The sequence below is a fragment of the Homo sapiens genome, chromosome 1 (assembly GCF_000001405.40).
Source record: "Homo sapiens chromosome 1, GRCh38.p14 Primary Assembly".
NCBI lineage: Eukaryota > Metazoa > Chordata > Mammalia > Primates > Hominidae > Homo > Homo sapiens.
In genome coordinates, this window is record NC_000001.11 from 5,077,602 (window position 1) to 5,098,841 (window position 21,240).

Here is a 21,240-nt window from a genome sequence, read left to right on the forward strand (position 1 = left end):
CATGGTATGGAACCCTCACTCTCCTAATCCTACAACAGGGGGGAAAAAAAAAAAGACAATGCCAGCCAAGCTGGCAGATGAGACTCTTCCTTTTCTGCAGCTCTCTCTACCCTTTCTAGCTAATGCTCTGCCCTATGAACAATGCTATGCAGCTGGATGGGTGGGGGCTACAAACAGCCATAGAGGAAACAGACAAATAAAATCTGGTGGCCACCCACCCAACAGCATTCATGAAGGGTCTGCAGTTTCCACGTGGGTCTTTCAGCGCTTCATTTGGTCATCAGGAATTCAGTTTCTTTCTCTGATAACATGAAAGAAGTCAAACATTACAGAAATCAAATGCAAGGCTATTATGGGTTGAATTATGTCCCTCAAGAAAAGACAAAAATGCAGCACCTTGGAATGTGATTTTATTTGGAAACAGGATCTTTACAGATAGAATCAAGTCAAAATGAGGGCCTTTATCCACCATAACTGGTGTCTTTATAAAAGGGAACTTTGAACACAGAGACAGATGTGCACGGAGGAAAGATGATGCAAAAAGACATAGGGAGAAGACAGCCATGGAAACACACAAGCAGATATCAAGGTGATGTTCCAACAAGCTAAAGAAAGCAAAGATCGCCGGCCACCACTAGCAGCTGGGGAGAGGCACGGACAGATTCAACCTGCTGCCAATGCCTTGATGTTGGACTTCTGCCTCTGGAACTCAGAGAGAATAAATTTCTGTTGTTTAAGCCACTCTAACTGTGGTGTTTTTTGTTATGGCAGCCAAGGAAGCTTATGTGAGAATCTCCCAAAAAAAGGGTGGGTATGAAGAAAGAATTTTAATAAATATGTATGATGCATTTTGGTGATTTGAAAAGGCAGCCATATTTGTCTAGAAAACCCTTTCCCTGGGCAATTGGTATCATCACTGGTGTGGAAAAAAATGAGTCATAAACCTGGAAAACGGTGGTCCTGGGATGGATGGCACTCTAGTCACACAGACCAACCTGCACCAGCCAAAAGCAAGTCTGTGATCAGAGCCTGGACGGCATCAGCCAAACCTGCCCTCTAGCAACAGTGACCACAACAGTCTCCTGAAATGCTAATTATCCTTCCTTCTGAGAACCTTTTTTAAAAAACTATTAGTGGCTAAATAAATTGAAGATGAAGGATAATTTGGCTTATTTATTTTTAGAATACTGTCTTCTTTAACCTATCTTATGAGCCTTCATTTAAATAATCAATCCAAGCTTCCCCCAATGGCACATTTTCCATTCTGTAGCGATACGTGTAATGAATCCCCATGCCACAGAGAGATGGCAATGACCCTGTGGGTGTCTCCACTCTGCATCCAACTCACTATTGCCCATTGTCTCTACCTCTCTGGGGGGCGAGGTCCCTGGAGACACCCCTCCTGTGGAGTCTCTGTCTGTCTTTGGGGGACAGAGATGTGTCTTATGGATCACTCAGCTTTGTTTGTACTCTGGGAAGTTGCACTAGAACCTCTTTCCAATGAGTCTTAATCAGTCATTTCTTGTTGCTTCTTGTAACGTCACTGAATTATAACAGAAGTGTTAATGTAAGTACAGGTTCCCTCTCAGTGATTCTGCCAAGGCTTTGCTTGCTCAGCGAGCTGGTATCCTCTGGCTCCTTGACTCTTTTCCTCCTGTCTCCTAGAGATTTGCTGCCTGCCTTGCAGATAAGGGAGTTTTTGTGGATGCTTTTTGAACGAGAGTATGTACAGTGTTGTCTTCCAGGTGTCTCTGGAGTTCTTCCATGGCACATTCTGCATCCAAAAGCACCGGATTCCTGCAAAGGACTCACCTCAGGGGCAGATCAGAATATTCCAGTCCAAATCATCAGGATTTCAAGTGTGGTTTGTGTTTTATGGATGCCTTCTCTACCCTTCTTCCATTACCCATTAACATATTTTGTGGCTCCCCAAGGATGAAGAAATACAGAACAGAAATAAAAATATCGAGCCCAATGACCTGCCTTCAAACTATTGGTAATGCAATGCTATTGCTGGAGAACAAAACATGCCACCCCCAAAACAAATATGACTAAAAAGCTACCCTTTTGCAAGAGAGATTTACATCTGTAAAATAAATCTCCTTTTGGAAGGGTGTCTCCCTCTCTGCACCAGGGAGAGAATTGCTAGGTTGACCCCCATATCACTAAAGAGCCTTCATCAATGAAGAAGGCATCGACTTAAATCTATATAACAAGGCTTAGCTTTGTTTAAGGTCCTTTTCCTGCCTTTTTCTTTTCTTTTCTTTTCTTTTTCTTTTCTCTCTTTTTTTTTTTAAACAGAGGTGGGGTCTCACTACATTGGCCAGGCTGGCCTCAAATTCCTGGGCTCAAGTGATCCTCCTGCCTCAGGCTCTTGAGTCACTGGGATTATAGACATGAGCCACCACACCCAGTTCCATAATCCCCATTTAACTAGTGAGGAAACCGAGACACAAATCAGGCAAGACACCTGTTTTGTTTGGACACACACAGCCAGGTGGTGGTTGAGCTGAACATGCTCGTTTGAACCAGGCTGTTTCCCACACTCACATTTGTCACCCTCCGTGATGATTTGACATACTGAGTCTCTCCAAGAAAGTCCCCAGTGGGAGGTACTATGCCTTTAACACGCTAGAGCAGCCTCAACAAGCTTCACCTGGGACAGGCTAAAGCATCTATGGAGAATTCATTAACATTGTTTCCTTTGTATTGACTGTTATTACAGTAACCTTTGAATCACCCAAAAGGATACTGGATTTCCATTCACAGTAATGTTACAATGTATCCCATAAGATGAATGGAGTCCCATCTAAGATTTTTACCAGTGGACTCAAGGGCTGCAACATACTTACGAGATCCCTCAGCAAGCAACCTATATATCCAACAAAAGGGGATTGATCAAGTGAATACTGGGCTATCCATGAAGTGGAATGTTATGCAGCTATACGGAGGGGCAAGAATGCTTCCTAAATGAACTACGAGGGAAACAACAAGATATATAATAAAATGGAAACAAAAGTCAGGGGCAAAATGTGTAGCATATGCTACTGTTGTATGATTTTAAAAAATGAAAAAGGGGGCCTGGTGCCGTGGCTTACGCCTGTAATCCCAGCACTTTGGGAGGCCGAGGCGGGCAGAGCGCCTGAGGTCAGGAGTTCGAGACCAGCCTGGTCAACATGGAGAAACCCCGTCTCTACTAAAAATACAAAAACTAGCCGGGCATGGTGGTGCGTGCCTGTAATCCTGGCTGAGGCAGGAGAATCACTTGAACCCGGCGGTGGAGGTTGCAGTGAGCCGAGATCGTGCCACTGCGCTCCAGCCTGGGCGACAGAGGGAGACTGCGTCTCAGAAAAAAAAAAAAAGTAAAAAGAAAAAGGGGAGAGAGAGAGAGAGAGAGAGTGTGTGTGTGTGAGTGTGTGTAGAAACAGTGGCTGCCTCTGGGAAGAGAAACTGGGTGACAGGACATGGGGAGTGAGGCTTCACATCTTGGTGCCTTTTTTAGATTTAGAACTATTTAAAGATAAATTGAAGTTATCTTAAAAAATAAAATTGCTTAATAAAAAGGAGAGCCGACTAAAGAAAAAGTAAGCTGGGACTGCAGGTGCATGTGAAAGCACCAGGCTTTGGCTATGTCTCTTTAACAGGTCTTTTCTCACATCCTTCTTTCTTTGTTTCAGAGAAGAATGGTATTTAAGCCTGAAGTTTAAACTACCATTTTGAGATCTACCCTAGAGATTTACTCAACTCTCTGGGTTATTTCTCATGTGTACAGAACATATACTTGTACATGCAATTCAACTTCTGTCCATTTTCCTCTTGATAATCTGTTTTATTCTTCCCGGGAGTCTCAGCTAAGAACTCATGAAGTGGAGAATATTATTTTTCCTCACCTACACCATTCGTATGGTTAACAGAAAGTGCTCTTAGAAGATTCCTGTAAATAAATGGATTTCTTAATAGAAATTCAGAGGGACATAGCGGTCTTCATAAAGTGTCCTGAGTGGAAAGAAAATGAGGTCCTCATTATCTAGGAAAACCCAGATGACCTAGAGCTTCTCTCATGAGAAGTGCTCATGGAACAGAGAAGGGATGTTTGTCCCTCCTCCAGGTTCAGCTGGGGAGAACCACACTCCCCCCTCACATCTCCTATGCACACTGGCCCTTTACGGAACATCCTTCCTGCATCCCCACACCACTCTGTGTTGAGGACATCACAACCCACATGCCTGTGACTCCTCCACGTTCCACACGGCATCACACTGAAAGCCCAGTCTGCTTACTAGCATGCCTTGCTAATAAAGAGATGTCGAAAGTTAAATTCTAAAGTTCAACTTTTTTTCTTACATTTTCAATCCTGTGGACAATAAGTAAATCAAGAAAAAAATAGACTTTTCAAAAAAATCAATTCTGAGACTGAGTTTTGATTTCAGAGACAAAGTCCTCATCCTTTGGAGGGTAAGTTTGGTTGTTTTCGAGGTGGAGGCTCGTTGCCTTGCCTTCTTTGCTTTTGGTTTCTCACCTTGTCTGCCCCTGCCCTGCCTCCCATCCATCCTCCTCCATCCTGTGGTCATTGGCTTCCTAACACCAATATTGGATCCTGCTTGAACACCTTAAGGGCCCATTTGCTGCTGTTCTCAGGATAAAGTCTTGAGTCCCCAGCACGGCACTCAAGGCCCTTCATAACTTGGTCACTTGTGCATGGTAAAGTAGTGTGGGGTTTAGAGGAAACACGGTCCACACCAACGTTCTCACTTCTGACACCAATTGCAAATTCAGTAGGTTTCCAAAACCATTCTCAATTTCGATAATTTTTTAGAAGGACTTGCAGAACTTTTCTGCCTCATCTTAGTTCATTCCTCAATAAACCCCGCCCAAAATTATTGGGCTAATTGTCACTGCCTGTACAGTAAATGACTTAACCTTGCCCGAAGAAAGTTCTGGTTTTTGTCCCCAGCTGCTGAGACATGCTGTGTAGGCCCTTGGCATTTCCCTTCTGATAAGGATGTGTCTATTTACCTGGGGCCTTGGCCACTGCGCAGCTTAGCAATGTGCTTTGTGATGAGGGCTTTGGGGCATGCAGTATATACTCCTCTTCTAGAGGGCTGGAGGCTAAAGGTCAGCCATGTGGGCAGCTGTTCATGAAGCCACAATGAGGGTGGACTCCTGACACCAAGGCACAGGTGAGCTTCCCTGTGGAAAATAGTCCAGGTGCATTGTCACATGTCATGGCTTGGAGGAGTTAGCACTGTCCAGGGCTCTATAGGGAGGAGACACCTTGTGTATTCATCTGTTCTCACACTGCTAATAAAGACATACCCGAGACTGAGTAACTTATAAAGGAAAGAAGTTTAATGGACTCACAGTTCCACATGGTTGGGGAGGCCTCACAATCATGGCAGAAGACAAAGGAAGAGGAAAGGCATGTCCTACATGATGGCAGGCAGGAGAGAGTATGTGCAGGGGACCTCCCCTTTATAAAACCATCAGATTTCATGAGAACGTCTTACATGATGGCAGGCAAGAGAGAGCGTGTGTAGGGGAGCTCCCCTTTATAAAACCATCAGATTTCGTGAGAACGTCTTCCATGATGGCAGGCAAGAGAGAGCGTGTCCAGGGGAACTCCCCTTCAGAAAACCATCAGATTTCGTGAGACTCGTTCACTATCATGAGAACAACACAGGAAAAACCCACCTCCAAGATTCAATTTCCTCCCACCAGGTGCCTCCTGAGACTCACGGGGATTATTACACTTCAAGATGAGATTTGGGTGGGAACACAGAGCCAAACTATATCATCTGGAAACTATATTTTGAACCTGCCAGACTCTGCCCAGGTGCCTCTTCCCTTGGCTGATTGTAATATGCAGCAGTTTCTCATGATAAACTATAACAGCACCTTTCACTGAGTTCTGCAAGTCCTAAAAAATTATTGAAATTGAGAATGGTTTTGGAAACCTCCTGAATTTGCAATTGGTGTCAGAAGTGAGAATGTTGGTGTGGACTATGTTCCCTCTAAACCCCACACTACCTTACCATGCACAAAAATGACACCACTGTTTCATTCCCGGTATTGTTCTCTCTCTCTCTCTCTCTCTCTCTCTCTCTCTCTCTCGTGCGCGCTCTCTGTCTCTTTCTCTTCTTCTCTCTCTCCTACCCCTTGCTCTCGTCTCTATTCTTCAATTTCAAGGCATAGCTAAGCTGATAGAGTAGAAAGAGCACTGTTCAGGCCTGGGAGTAGATAAATGAGGGGCAATGTCAGTCTGAGTCATAAATGCTTTATAACTTTGGTTTTCTCTTTGGTAATTAAAAAAAAAAAATTGGCCCTGAGCAGTTGATTCTCAGTTGAGTGTCCTATGTGTCAGCATTCTGAGTGAAGGGGCAGAGACCAGCCCAGGTCCTAAAGGGCAAGTCAGGACATGCCCAGTTGACCTTCCTGATTCCACATGGTCCCTTGAAACTATGGCTGAGTTAAGGGATAAAGTGAGGGAGTCCTTCCTCATGATCCCAGAAAAGTTAATATTTTTTTGACAGGGTCTTGCTCTGTTGTCCTGCTGGAGTGCAGTGTCAAGATCATAGCTCACTGCAGCCTCAAACTCCTAGACTCAAGCAATCCTCCTACCTCAGTCTCCCAAGTGGCTGGGACTACAGGCATGCACCACCATGCCCAGATAATTTTTAAAATTTTTTTAGAAATGGGGGTCTCACTATGTTACCCAGGCTAGACTTGAACACCTGGCCTTAAGCAATCCTTCCACCTAAGCCTCCCAAAGTGCTGGGATTACAGGAATGAGCCATTAGTCGAGGAATGTCTGGCCAAAAAAATTTAGTATTTTATTCTCTTCCTTTCACATTCCCATTCACTCAAGATTAATTTTTATTTTTAAAAATTCTGCCTCATAATATGAAATCATTGAATTTCCTACTATTTCCTGCAAGTCAGTTCTGTTTTGTATTTTAAAAAGTGTTTCCTGAAGTCTTATAAAAATACAAAAACAACATGACACTTATCCTTATTTTATTGCTCCCTTTTGGCCAGGTCAAACCGCCCATTGCTTATCTAATGGGAGATACAGCCTTTCCAAATGCCACCTGAAGAATGCTCAGAATAAAGCCAACTCAATGCCCAGGCCAAATACACTGTGTTTATGCAGATGCCCAATTCATGGATCAACAGCTCCTTCTTCACCACACCATCCTTCCTCCCAAGAGGAGAAGCCTAGAATCCATATGTTGGCTCTATCAAAATGCAGATACCACCATATGTCACCAAAGATGGCACTGCAGTTGCCCTTGGCCGAGTTCCTGGTGCTTGCTGGTGGCACATTTTCCAAGCACAGACATTTTCAAATCAACCACTGAGAAGTTTGATGAGCGGCTATGATGCCAACAGAAGATTCAAATTCCAGTCAGGTGTTTGGGGCCAAAACTCGGTGCCTCGTAGCTCCTGTGGCTGAGACCACAAACTGGTTCCATAGGCAATGCAAGTGCTCTGACAGCATCTGAACACACTTACCTTTCAAAACCCGTGGCAGCCTTTCCATGCCTTGGCATGCAAATGAGTCAATGCTATATTTGGTAATGAGTGCCAGTCCTTTTTTGACAGGTTAATTAATATTCATTATTCAACAGAGAAGAAAATGCTGAGTTGTTTATCATTGGTTCATTAGTTTTAGCCAAATAAAGGATAAACATAATTACTCTCATAAACTGCTGTGACAGAGCCTAAAAATTATGAGGCTGAAAATGGATGCCTTCAGGAAAACCCTAAAAGAAATGAGACCCTTGGATCTCAGCAGATGAGTGAGAATAACAGTTCTGGTTTCTACTGGCATGTCCCAACTCCCTCTCTCATTGGACCTGGACAAGATCATTCTCCAAAAATGACTCTGCTCTTGCATTTCTTGTTGCCTTTGTCTTCACTGATGATTTTTGCTGTGAGGTGTTGGGGGCTTGTTACTACTGTGTGGTGCGTGTGCAGGAGTTAAGCCTTCTGTAGGGGCAAGTTCTCTGACTAAGCAAAAGGCTACACCTGACATCATGGAGGTTGGCATGGATGGGTCTCCCTCTGAATTCTAGCTTCCTGACTGTGTTTTTTATGCTAAAGATTTAGCAGGCTTCTCCTCCTGCATTCTCCCTCGCATCCTGTCCTTTCCTCTAGTGTCAGTGCTTTCACCTTCAACAACTCAAGACTTTAGATTCTGCTTCTTAGGGAATCAAACTCAGTCCTCTCTGTATTCACCATTTGTGTCCCTCCCAAAGTCGTGTGTTTAAACTCTAACCCCCATGTGACTATGTTTGGAGATGCAGCCTATAAAAGGTCATTAACGTTAAATGAGTTCATAAGGGTGGAATTAATCCAGTGGAATTAGTGTCCTTAGAAGAAGAGATGCTGGAGCTTGGGCACTCTCTGTAGGTACAAAAAGAAGAGGTCACATGAGCATGCAGCAAGAAGGTGGCTGTCTGTAAGCCAGCAACAGAGCCCTCACCTCTCAGCTGGCACCTGGATCTGAGACTTCCAGCCTCTAAAACGGAGACAATAAATTTCTGTTGTTAACCCATTTCCCATTTGCCCCAAGAATACTGCACTGGCAGCAAGCTGCAATTTTTTTTTTTTTCCCTAAATGGGAAATGGGTTAAGTCACCCAGACTGTGGTGTTTTGTTATGGGCAGCCCAAGCCGACGAATAGACTAACATAGACTAATAGGCTATCCGGAAACTATGGCAACACACACATACAGACACACACACACACACACACACCTTGTCATTTTCACTCCACTGCTCCATCATTGTGTTTTTAGGTAGTTTTGATGACGATGATGGTGATGATGATGAGAATAAAAAGGAAACAAACGTGTTTATGTCAGGTGTCAGGCACTTATTTTCCCTGCAAAGTGCTTGCACATTTATTACCTCATGGGGAGAGCCTGGGTCCAAGCAGCCATGGTTTCGATGAGAAAGTCAGGCTCTGAAATAAGAACTTCAATGAGCAAAACTGTATTTATGTTAATAAAAGGAAAATAAAACTCAAAATCTGTAAATATGTAAACCTCTAGTGATCTTCTCCCTAGTGAATGTAGATGTGATCAAATAAACAAGTCTGTGTGTTTCAGCTCCCTAAGGACAGAACACACTTGCATGGCTGTATTTACTGTTTATATTTAGAACAATGGTTTTAAAGAAATGTAACAGTGCCAATACAGTTTGTTGCAGGTGGGGTTTTCAGAGAGCAGTCACTGAGACTGAGTTTGGGATACTAGATCCCAAAGGAAGGGATGAGAGAGAGAGCAGAACTGAGCAGAGGGGGAAAGGGAACCACCAGGCAGCTCAACGGAGTACTGACCAGGAGCCCTGGAGCAAGTCGCCCAGCAGCGAGTGGCCTCTGTCCCCCTGCCTTGCTCAGTCCCTGGGTGTGGCTGCCCTGGGAAGATGAGACCTGGAGCAGGGCAGTTTGGCTGCTGGGCCTGCCGCTGAAGGAGCTTCAGCCGGGGCCTGTCTGCCAACACACTTCCTGCTGCTCGGCAGCAAAGCCCTCCCAGAATGGAGCCTGGGTGATGCATCTCTGTGTCCACCCCAAGCCTGAAGCTCCCTTGAGACCCTTGCCTGAGCCTATTTCCAAATATGACCACTATATTAGAGTAGGTTTGGATCCTTCTCATCAATGGTTTTATACTTGTACTATAAATTCCTGTATCCATACATATGGCCCAGTTTAGTATGTTTTAGCCATAGAAAAATGTTGTCATCCATTGGCCTAGGCAAAGAATTTATGACTCAGTCCTTAAAAATAAATGAAACAAAAACAAAAATGACAAGTGGGACCTAATTAAACTAAAGAGTTTCCACACAACAAAAGAAACTGTCAACAGAGTAAACAGACAATGGCATGGGAGAAAATATTTGCAAATTATGCATCCAATGAAGAACAAATATCCAGAATCCATGAGGAACTTAAATCCATAAGAAGAAAACAACCCCATTAAAAAGTGGGCAAAGGACATGAACAGACACTTCTCAAAAGAAGATATACAAGTGGCCAACAAACATATGAAGAAATGCTCAACATCACTAATCGTCAGAGAGATGCAAATCAAAACCATGAGATACCGTCTCACACCTGTCAGAGTGGCTTTTATTAAAAAGTCACAAAATAGCAGATGTTGTCAAGGTTGCAGAGAAAAGGGAATGCTAACATACTGTTGGTGGGAATGCCTAATCAGTTCAGCCACTGTGGAAAGCAGTTTAGAGATTTCTCAAGCAACAAAAAAATAGAGTTACCATTCAACCCAACAATCCCATTTCTGGGTATATACCCAAAGGAAAACAAATCATTCTACCAAAAAGTCACCTGCAATTGTAAGTTCATCACAGCATAATTCACAATAGCAAAGACATGGAATCAACCCAGGTGCCCATCAACAGCAGATTAAATAAAGAAAATGTGGTACATATACACCATGGAATACTACACAGCCATAAAAAAGAACAAAGTCAGCCAGCCATGGTGGCTGACACCTGCAATTCCAGCACTTTGGGAGACCAAGGCGGGTGGATCGCCTGAGGTTGGGAGTTCGAGACCAGCCTGAACAATGTGCAGAAACCCCATCTCTACTAAAAATACAAAATTAGCCAGGTGTGGTGGCGCATGCCTGTAATCCCAGCTACTCAGGAGGCTGAAGCAGGAGAATCACTTGAACCCGGGAGGCGGAGGTTGTGGTGAACTGAGATCGCACCATTGTACTGCAGCCTGGGCAACAAGAGTGAAGCTCTGTCTAAAAAAAAAAAAAAAAAAAAGATAAAAGTCATGTCATTTTCAGCAACATGGATGCAGCTGGAGGCTATTATCCTAAGTGAATTAACACAGAAACAGAAAACTAAATACTACATGTTGTCACTTGTAAGTAGAGCTAAACAATGGGACACACATGGACATAAAAATAGAAACTATAGACACCGGGAACTCCAAAAAAGGGAAGAGGGAAAGGGCTGAAAAACTACCTATTGGGTGGTGCTATGTTCATTATATGGGTGACAGGTTTTCAATAGAAGCCCAATGCTTAGCATCATGCAATATACCCTTGTAACAGAGCTGCACATGTACTCCCCAAATCTAAAATTAGAAACAAGATGCTGTCATCATCATAATATATGATATATATGATATATATATTATATATGACATATACAATATATATATAGTTGACCCTTGAACAATAGGGGTTTGAACTACATGGGTCCCCCTGCTGCCTCTGAGGCAGTGAGACCAACTCCTCTTCTTCCTCCTCTTCCTCAGCCTACTCAACATGAAGACAATGAGAATGAAAACCTTTATAATGGTCCACTTCCAGTTAATGAATAGTAAATATGTTTTCTCTCTCTTATGATTTTCTTAATTTTTTTATTTATTTATTTATTTTATTATTATTATACTTTAAGTTTTAGGGTACATGTGCACAACGTGCAGGTTTGTTACATATGTATACATGTGCCATGTTGGTGTGCTGCACCCATTAACTCGTCATTTAGCATTAGGTATATCTCCTAATGCTATCCCTCCCCCTCCCCCCACCCCACAACAGTCCCCGGTGTGTTCTTAATGTTTTTTCTCTAGCTGACTTTATTGTAAGAATACAGTATAGAATACATGTAGCATAAATGTGCTACATGTATTATGTATGGTACATGTGTTATATACATGTATGCTATATGTGTTAATTGACTGTTTATGTTATCAGTAAGGCTTCCAGTAAACAGTAGGCTATTAGTAGCTAAGTTCTGGGGGAGTCAGAAGAAGTTATACATGGATTTTTGGCTAGGCATGGTGGCTCACGCCTGTAATCCCAACACTTTGGGAGGCCAAGACTAGAGTATCGCTTGAGCCCAGAAGTTCAAGACCAGCCTGAGCAACATAGGGAGACTTCTTCTCTACAATGGTGGTGCACATCTGTGGTCCCAGCTACTTGGGAGGCTGGAGGTGGGAAGATCACTTCAGTCCTAGAGATGGAGGCTACAGTGAGCCATTATCATGCCACTGCACTCCAGCCTGGATGACAGAGACATCCTGTCTCAATTTAACAACAAAAAAGTTATACATGGATTTTCAATTGCACAGGGGATTGACACCCCTAACCCTCACATTGTTTAACAGTCAACTGCATATACCATACATGTAAACTACACATATATCATATTTATATATATTTTTTATGCTGAAGCTATATTTTTAAATTCAACATTTTGTTTAAAACATTTGCCTATTCTGATACATGACAATCTTACTCATTACGAATTATTATTAACTAACATATTCTAAATGATGTGAAAAATCTCATTGTGTTTGTATACTGTGATTTATTTCCTCATATCCTTTCCTGGTGTGTGAGCTGTTTCCTGGTTTACTCTTGTAAGCAAAGATTCAGTGAACATGTGCCCTCCTGTGTCCGTGGCTTGAGGGTTTCTCTAGGGCACCAGGACAAATGTCTTCCTTGGCTTTTCTGCATTCCCCTTGAACTTGGTGTGGTATCTGCCTGCAACTCACGCTCCATTATAAACACCAATCCATAATGCCTGGAATGATGCTCTCCTATTTCCTTCCACCGCAGACTCAAACTGCCAGGTCTTGGAAACCAAAAAGATCTCAAGGCAGGCAGGTGGTTGCTATGAGCAGTGCTAAAGGCAGGGTTGCTATTTAACTGGACTGTGTTCATAAACCTGTCTTTTCAGATCAAAAGTTTTTGCTGTAGGGATTCTTCTTTCAAAATGAAGAGACGTAGTATAATATGTATGCAGATGTGGTAAACGAAGAAAAAAGGAACAAAAACTCTAATCTTCTGTTTTTTTATGCAATCAACATAACAATTGTTAAACTTAAAAAAATGAGGAAGTAAGCAAAACAAAAACAAAGCAAAGCCCTATAAGCAACTAAAGCAGATGTTTAGTCACTAAAACTCTGTATTTTAATCAAAGGAGGGTACCTACCTATCTTCATCAAAACGTATTTAACTCGCCTTCTCACTTTGTCTCTCTCTGTGTGTGGGACAAATGCAGACATATTGTGTGAGTACTTAACTTTTAGAAATTCAATGATAGACACCCAACAAAAATAGAGAGAGATGAGAAATGAAAACTAACCATCAAACACCCCCAAGTGATGGAGTCTGTGGGCCAGTCATTCCAGGTAATCTGTGCGCATGGCCCCAGCATGGGCCTGTGATCCAATGATGGGTTCTGTGGGCCAGTCATTCCAGGTAATCTGTGTGCATGGCCCCAGCATGGGCCTGTGATGAGAGGTGGGCATCTGCCCTCCTTTGTGAGGGGTGCAACCTGGTGTGTTACTAAACCTCTTTGTAGTCTCCACCTTTTATCTGAAAATCAGGAATAATAACAGCACTTGTTTCATTGGGCCATTGTAGGGATTACATGAGTAAGAACAGATTCCTCAGGATAGTGTCTCACACATATAAAGTGCTGAATAAATGCTGCAGATGAAGAAGCCACAGTGGCCCTTGAATGCAGCCCTGTTTTAAAGCTGTAATAACTGATGCTAATAATCATGACCTTGGTCCATTGAATAAAAGAAATAACTCTCAGTATTTTCTCAGCATATGCATAGTGAATAAAATATAACTCGATGACAACAAAAATATAGATAGGAATGTATGTAAGTATTACAATATGAACAGCAGTATGCAAACACTAATGACCTTAGCTTATTAAGAAAAAATAATGTTCATAATGTTCAGTGTTTTCTCAGAAAGAAAAATGGTTAATATAATATTTTGAATCATTTTTAATTCCCAAATGCCATAGGAAAATTTTACTCCAAATGCTAGATAAGTTACATAAACTTTTTCCAAAACTGCATTCTACAATACCTTAACAAAATTTCCATGGAAAAGGTATGTTTGTGATAATGTATGGTTGGTCAAGGCTGGCTTAAAGTGAGCTAAACAGGGATTTTCTCTTTTTGTAATGATGGAACTGGAAACTGGAGTCAATTTTTCTTGCTAAAAATAGAAAATCTGGGAAAATATTAACAGAAGAGTTTGAACTAACAATACAGTGAGGAATTATGGAGAATAAAATTTAGAGAAGGAAAGAAACCCATAGAAGTAAGCTTGGCATTTAGAATTCCTTTTTCACAAGTGGTGTCTGCCCATTTGGAAGAGGTAGTTGAGACATTAAGAAGCTGAACAGCATTGTTTAGAGTCACAAGGGAATGGAGAAGCAAAAATCACAGTTGACAGCTCTGAAAAATCAGTTTCTCTACACTCATACAACACTTCTGATATCACATGTGTGGGGTTTTTTCCCTCTCCAGCAGATTCTCTGATATCAGCTAGGTGTCTGACAATTTAATTCATTTCTGAAATTATCTACTTAGAGTTAGCCTCACATACCATGAGTTAAGTGCTCAGTCCCATAAAACTACCTCCCCACTTCAGATGTCAATTGCAAGTCCAGACCTCTCCTACTACTGATCAACCAGCTACAAAATGGGTGACTCCCATGACTCCTTCTTAAGGTTTAATAATTTGCTAGAATAGCTTGCAGAAATCAGGGAAACCATTTATTTACATTTACTGGCTTATGGTAAAGGATACAACTCAGGAACACTTTAGATGGAGGCAATGCAGAGGGCAAGGTATGGTATGGAGAGGGTATATGTATGAAGCTTTCATGCTTTCTCTGGGCATGACACCCCCAAGCACCAACCCAGAAGCTTACCAAAATCTCCTTGTTCAAGAGTTTTTATAGAGCTTAGTCTCCAGTACCCTCTTCCTTCCCAGAAGGTGATGGGTGGGGCTGAAAGTTTTACCCCTCTAATTACATGCTCTTTCTACTAACCAGCCCCATGCTGAGGCTATCTAGGGGTCATAGCATAAGTCACCTCATTAGCATAAACTCAGGTAATCCAAAGGAGTTCATCATGAGGAACAAGACATTTTTATCACTCAGGAAATTCCAAGGGTTTAAAAACTCTGTGCTAGGAACCAGGGACAAAAAAAACAAAAACAGAACAAAAACACACAAATATATTTCTTCTTATTATAACACAGGCTCCACTCTGGGGAGCCCTTGGAAATCCATCTCCTTGGTATTGAGACCCTGTAGGACTATAGGCTATTAATAGCAGTAAGGCTGGGTTGTAAGTAAGTTATCTCTCTCAGGGACTAAGCCTTGCTTTTCATCATGTTCAGACTCTAAAATTGGATTGTGTTAAACCTTAATTACTAGTGTCCCAAACTGCTTACCAGAAATAGTGTATATCTTTGTGGAGGAAATTAGCATCATCTAAGGCCACAAATTATGTCTACAAAGTTTTGGGGCACAATTCTTAACTCTTAATAGTAATAATAAAAACTGAGTTGAGAAAAAACCTGGACAACATTAAAATAAAAACCAAGAGAAACAACAGATATAAGAAATAGACCCATAAGGGAACCTGGAAAGGAAGTACCAGATACTGACCTATAACTGTAATTATTAGTTCAAGAAATAAAACAGCAAGATTGAGCATTTTTGACAAAGAAATGAAAACCATAAGAAAGAATCAAATGGAAACTTAAAAATACAATGATCAATATTAAAAACTCAATGGATGATGTCAGAAATCGATTAAACACAACTGAAAAGAGAACCAGAGCTTTGGAAAATTGGTCAGAAGAAAATATCCAGAGAACCAGAGTTTTGGAAAATTGGTCAGAAGAAAATATCCAGAATGAAATGTGAAGAGTGACAAAAGGAATGAAAACACAAAACAGAGGCTAAGGGATATAAAAAAGCACTTATAATTATCTGAAACTGGAGCCCCAGAGCAAGAAAAGGGGCAGCATGGATTAGAAGCAATATTTGGAAAGATCTTCTGAGAATGTCATAGGACTAATGAAAGACATCAAGCCATAAATCCATGAAGCCCTAAAAATAAATAAAAGTAACAGCAGAATAAATAAAAATGAAATGACACATAGGTGTATCAGGATAAAGCTACTGGAATCAAAAAACAAAGAACAAAAAAACCCTCTAAAAACAAGCTAGAAAAAAGGAAACACATTACATTTAAAGCAGTCAAAATTAGACTGACAGCTAATATCACAGAAGAAACTATCATAGAAGACAATGCAATGACACATTCATCCAATGTGCTGACAAAAAAGTGTAAACCTAAGATTCTATGAGGAGTGAGAATATTTTCAAGAATGAAGAAATTTTATGCAAATAAAAATCATAAAATTTTGATTAAGGCCTGATAAAGGCCTTAATCAAAGGAAACACTAAGATGAAGATACATGTGTATATATATAATTAAAATGCACAGAGATAATAGCATATAATTCAGGAGAAGAACTAATGAAGTTAAAGTATTATTAGAGTTTTGCATTGTCCAAGAAGAGATAAAAGTACAAACTAATAATTAAACTTTGATAAGACAAGGATGCAGATTATATTCTTTAATTAACCAGTTAAAGAACAGTAAGATATTTGTAACAACTTAGCAAAACGGGGGAGGGAAGAAAGAAATTTAAAAAAATCTTAACAAATCCAAAGGAAGATGAAAAAGGGCAGACAAAGAAACATAGCTAGCTGGAACAATAGAAAAGAGCTAATAATATGATTAATTTAAAACCTAATTATCTGTTTTACATTAAACGTAAATGGACTACATAAATAGCAACGTGCTACTTAGAGAATAATACATCAGTACAATATGATCAATAAAGTATGATTTTCATACTTTACTGATAAAATATGAAATCAATAAAGTATGACTACAGAAAGTTTGAAAGTAAAAGTATAAAAATTAACCAGGCAAGATTAACAAAAGAAAACTTGGGTAGCTATATTAATAAAAGAAAAGTAAATTTAAAGTCAAAAGACATTGTTAGAGATACAAAGACATTTTATTATGAGAAAAGCATCAATTTTTAATGAAAGTGTGAAGCTTACAAAATTCTATCACTTATGAATAAGCTTCAAAGCAAAATAAATAGAACTATAAAAAATTCAGAAATGTATAATCACCTTGAGAAACTGTGGAACAACTTTTTCAGTAACTCAAAGAAGAAGAAAGGATAGAAAGAGCCAAGACACTTTTGAAGAAGGCCAAGGTAGGGACATTGCTTTACTATATACAAAGACTTATAAAGTTACCATGATTAAGACAGTGTGGAACTGGCCCAAGACCAGTGAAGCAGAGTGGAATGCAGGAAGAGATTATGCATGTATGGACACTTAATTTATGAAAAAAGGTAGCATTGCAGAACAGTGGCAGAAAATAATTTTTTTCAACAAATTGTGTTGAGTCAAATGGATTTGTATTTGGAAAAAAATAAGTAAAATGTAATCCACATATCATGCCATAAAAAAATTCCATTCAGTTGGATTATAGGTCTAAATGTGAAAGGTAAAATAATAAAACTCTGGAAAATAAAGTTAGGAAATATTCATTAACTTGGAATAAGAACACCGTCTTAAATCTGACACAAATGCATTAAACATAAAGAGAATGAATGAAAATGAACTATATTAAAATTAAGAAGTTTTGTTCATCCAAAAATATTGTAAAGAGAGTGAAACAAGCCACAGACAATATAAAGGACCCTTTAATATTAATATAAAAATAAAGCCAGGCAACCGAAATAAAAAGGTGCAAAATACTTGCATAGATATGTCATTAAGAAAAAATCCAAGGGTTGGAAACATTGGAAAAGGTGTTTGACTTCACAAGACATCAGAGAAATGAAGATTAAAACCATAATGTGACACTACTTCACACCTGCCAGAATAACTAAAATTAAAATTTCTGACAATACCAACTCAAATTCTCATACACTACAGGTGGAGGTGTAAACTAGTATAGCCACTTTAGAAAACTGTTTAACATTACCTATTTAAGTCATATGTATGTGATATTCTAACAATTTCTCTTTTAGATATACACAGTACAGAAATACATTCACAAGCTTAGCACAAGACATCTACATGAATGTTCACAGAAGTACTATTTATAAGAGCCTCTAAAGGGAAGCAATCCAAAAGAGTATTGGTGTTAGAATGGACAATTAAATTAGAATAATTAGAGAATGAAATACTCTATAGCGAAGACAATGAACAATCCAAACTTCATCCAACACATGAACGGATCTTACAAACATGATGTTGAATGAGGGAGGCTAAACACAAAGGAAAATATACTTCACGGTTTCATTTATATAAAGTTCAAAACTGAAAAGCTGCACTAAGGTGTTAGAAATGGGAAAAATGCTACTCGGAAGGCTGAGGCAGGAGAATGGCGTGAACCTGGGAGGCGGAGCTTGCAGTGAGCCGAGATCACGCCACTGCACTCCAGCCTGGGCGACAGAGCGAGACTCCATCTCAAAAAAAAAAAAAAAAAAGAAAGAAAGAAAGAAATGGGAAAAATGGTTATCTTGGGAGAGAAAAGAGGAGATGAGATATTGGTGGGAGGAAGTGTGAGGAAGCAACTGAACACTTCGATTTGTATTTGGAAAAAAATAAGTAAAATGTAATCCACATATCATGCCATAAAAATTACTTTCAGGTGGATTATAGATCTGAATGTGAAAGGTAAAATAATAAAACTCTGGAAAATAATGTTAGGAAATATTCATTAACTTGGGATAGAGAACACTGTCTTAAATCTGACACAAATGCATTAAACATAAAGAGAACATAGTGAGCCCTGAGATAGCCTCACGATGTGGGGCTGCGTGTCAGGGGAACCAATCATGTGCTTAGAGACTTGGAACTTTCAGTCTCAATCCTCCCCCAAGCTCCTGAGAGAGGAGAGAGGCTGAAGGTCAAGCTGATCATCAGTGGCCAACAATGTAATCAATCATGCCTACCCTACATTATGAAACCTCCATAAAAACCCAAAAGGAAAGGATTCAGGTGAGGTTCTGAGTAGCTGAACCCATGAAGGTCCTTGGAGGGTGAAGCGCCCCAGAAAGTGCATTGATACCCCATGCCGCTCCCTATACCACGCCTGGTGCATCACTCTGCTTGTTCATCTGCATCCTATGTCTTATCCTTTATGATAAATGGATAAAAGTAAGTAAAGCATTGCCCTGAGTTATGTGAGCTGCTCTAGCAAATTAATCAAACCTGAGGAGGGGGTTATGGGAACCCCAGTTTATAGCCAGTCACTCAGAAGTATAGGTGACAACTTTTTATACTGCCTGTGATTGGCATTTCGAGTGGGGGCAACCTTATAAAATTGAGCCCTTGACCTATGAGACCTGACACTATCTCCAGGGAGATAGTGTCAGAATTGAATTATGGAGCACCCAGCAGATGTCTGCTTGAGAATTGCTTGCTTGGTGTGTAGAGAAAACTCTCCACACATCTAGTGTTAGAAGCATTGTGTAGAACGGTGTGTGAGAGTAGAGAATAGAAGAAGCACTTTGTTTTTTCCCTATTCTTAATATAGTTATTCTTAGGACTCAAGGACAAACCTTATTTGATAAATGTAAGGCAGCCTTAATAAAATGGACTTTGTCTTCAAGGTTAATAGGTACAGTGGCATTACTGATAAGCCAACCTTTAATAGTTAGGATGCAGCCTTGGCTGCTGTTACAAAAAGACCCAAAATAAGAGTGGTGTATTAGTCTGTTCTCACATTGCTATAAAGAACTACCTGAGACTGGGTAATTCACAAATAAAAGAGGTTTAGGGCAGGCATAGTGATTCGTGCCTGTAATCTCAGCACTTTGGGCGGCTGAGGCAGGCAAATCACCTGAGATCAGGGGTTTGAGACCAGCCTGGCTAACACGGTGAAACCCCATCTCTACTAAAAAAAAAAAAAAAAAAAAATACAAAAAAAATTAGCTAGGTGTGGCGGACACCTGCAATCCCAGCTACTCAAGAGGCTGAGGCAGGAGAATCACATGAACCTGGGAGGCGGAATTTGCAGTGGGCCGAGACTGCGCCGTTGCACTCCAGCCTGGGTAACAAGAGCGAAACTATGTCTCAAAAAAAAAGAAAAAAGAAAAGAGGTTTAATTGAGAGTTCCACAGGCTGTAGAGGAAACATGACTGGGGAGGCCTCCGGAAACTTGCAATCATGGCGGAAGGTGAAGGGGAAGGAGGCACGTTTCATGTGGCCGGAGAAGGAGGAAAAGAGAGTGAAGGAGGAGGTCCTGCACACTTTTAAACAACCAGATCTTGTGAGAACTCACTCACTATCACGAGAAGAGCAAGGGGAAATCCACCCCCATGATCCAGTCACCTCCCACGAGGCCCCTTCTCTATCACTGGAGATTACAATCTGACATGAGGTTTGGGTGAGTACACAGACCCAAACCATATCAGTGTGCTTAAATAAGACAGCACATTTTTCTCAAGTTCTAATTGCAGCCCAGGGGTGGTCCCACTATTATCAAGGGTGCAGGCTCTTTCTGTCTCATTCCATCATCCTTTCCACCCTTTCCAGATAAGTGTGGAGCCTCCTACCCTTTCTGGGGTGCTCCACCCTCCAGTGACCTCTGTGATTTCAGCCGTTCAGCTTCTCGTGATTCAGGATGGCTGCTGGAAATTGACCCATGACCCACCCACATTCCAGCTAGTGGGGTTAGGGAAAAGGGACAACATGGGAGGGTGTTCCCCTTATTTTTATGGCACAAGCTAGAATTGGCATCCATATTGCCGCTTACTCACCATTGGTCAGGACTTGGTCACATGGTCACACCTAGCTGCCGCACAGGCTGGAAACAGTGTGCCCCTGCCGAGCTAATATATAGGTTTCTTTTAAGACAGAAAGAAAAAAGCATAGATATAGGGGGCTGACGGGAGGTCTTTGATCCTTCAATAAATACCTCTTTCCTTCACTAAATACCTCTGGAAGGAGTGTTAAAAGATGTCCCATTTAGGCTGGGCGCGGTGGCTCACGCCTGTAATCCCAGCACTTTGGGAGGCCGAGGCGGGTGGATCACGAGGACAGAAGATCAAGACCATCCTGGCTAACACGGTGAAACTCCATCTCCACTAAAAATACAAAAAAATTAACCAGGCGTGGTGGTGGGCACCTGTAGTCCCAGCTACTCAGGAGGCTGAGGCAGGAGAGTGGCGTGAACCCGGGAGGCAGAGCTTGCAGTGAGCCGAGATCGCACCACTGCACTCCAGCCTGGGTGACAGAGTGAGACTCCGTCTCAAAAAAAGAAAAAAAAAGATATCCCATTTAGCTGGCATATTATATGAAAAAAATCAATGATAAAGTATAGGAAAA

The 21,240-nt window shown here is 41.0% G+C and overlaps 1 long non-coding RNA gene across 1 annotated transcript, besides 1 other annotated feature; it reads right to left on the minus strand.

The window, feature by feature from the left end:
- Positions 5,909-7,108: an enhancer, noted in NCBI's record as "MED14-independent group 3 enhancer chr1:5143570-5144769 (GRCh37/hg19 assembly coordinates)". NCBI's record gives its function as "activates an origin of replication core promoter dependent on BRD2, BRD4, P300/CBP and CDK7 cofactors, and independent of MED14, by STARR-seq in HCT116 cells {active_cell/tissue: HCT116}" and the evidence as "EXISTENCE:reporter gene assay evidence [ECO:0000049][PMID:35650434]".
- Positions 8,858-20,947, minus strand: LINC02782 (long intergenic non-protein coding RNA 2782). Its single transcript, NR_183671.1, has 6 exons — positions 20,851-20,947; positions 20,673-20,759; positions 13,132-13,364; positions 12,979-13,026; positions 10,650-10,772; positions 8,858-8,968 (listed from the first exon to the last, which is right to left on the minus strand). It is a non-coding gene; the product is annotated as a long intergenic non-protein coding RNA 2782 (long non-coding RNA).
- Positions 20,948-21,240: the final 293 nt, after the last annotated feature.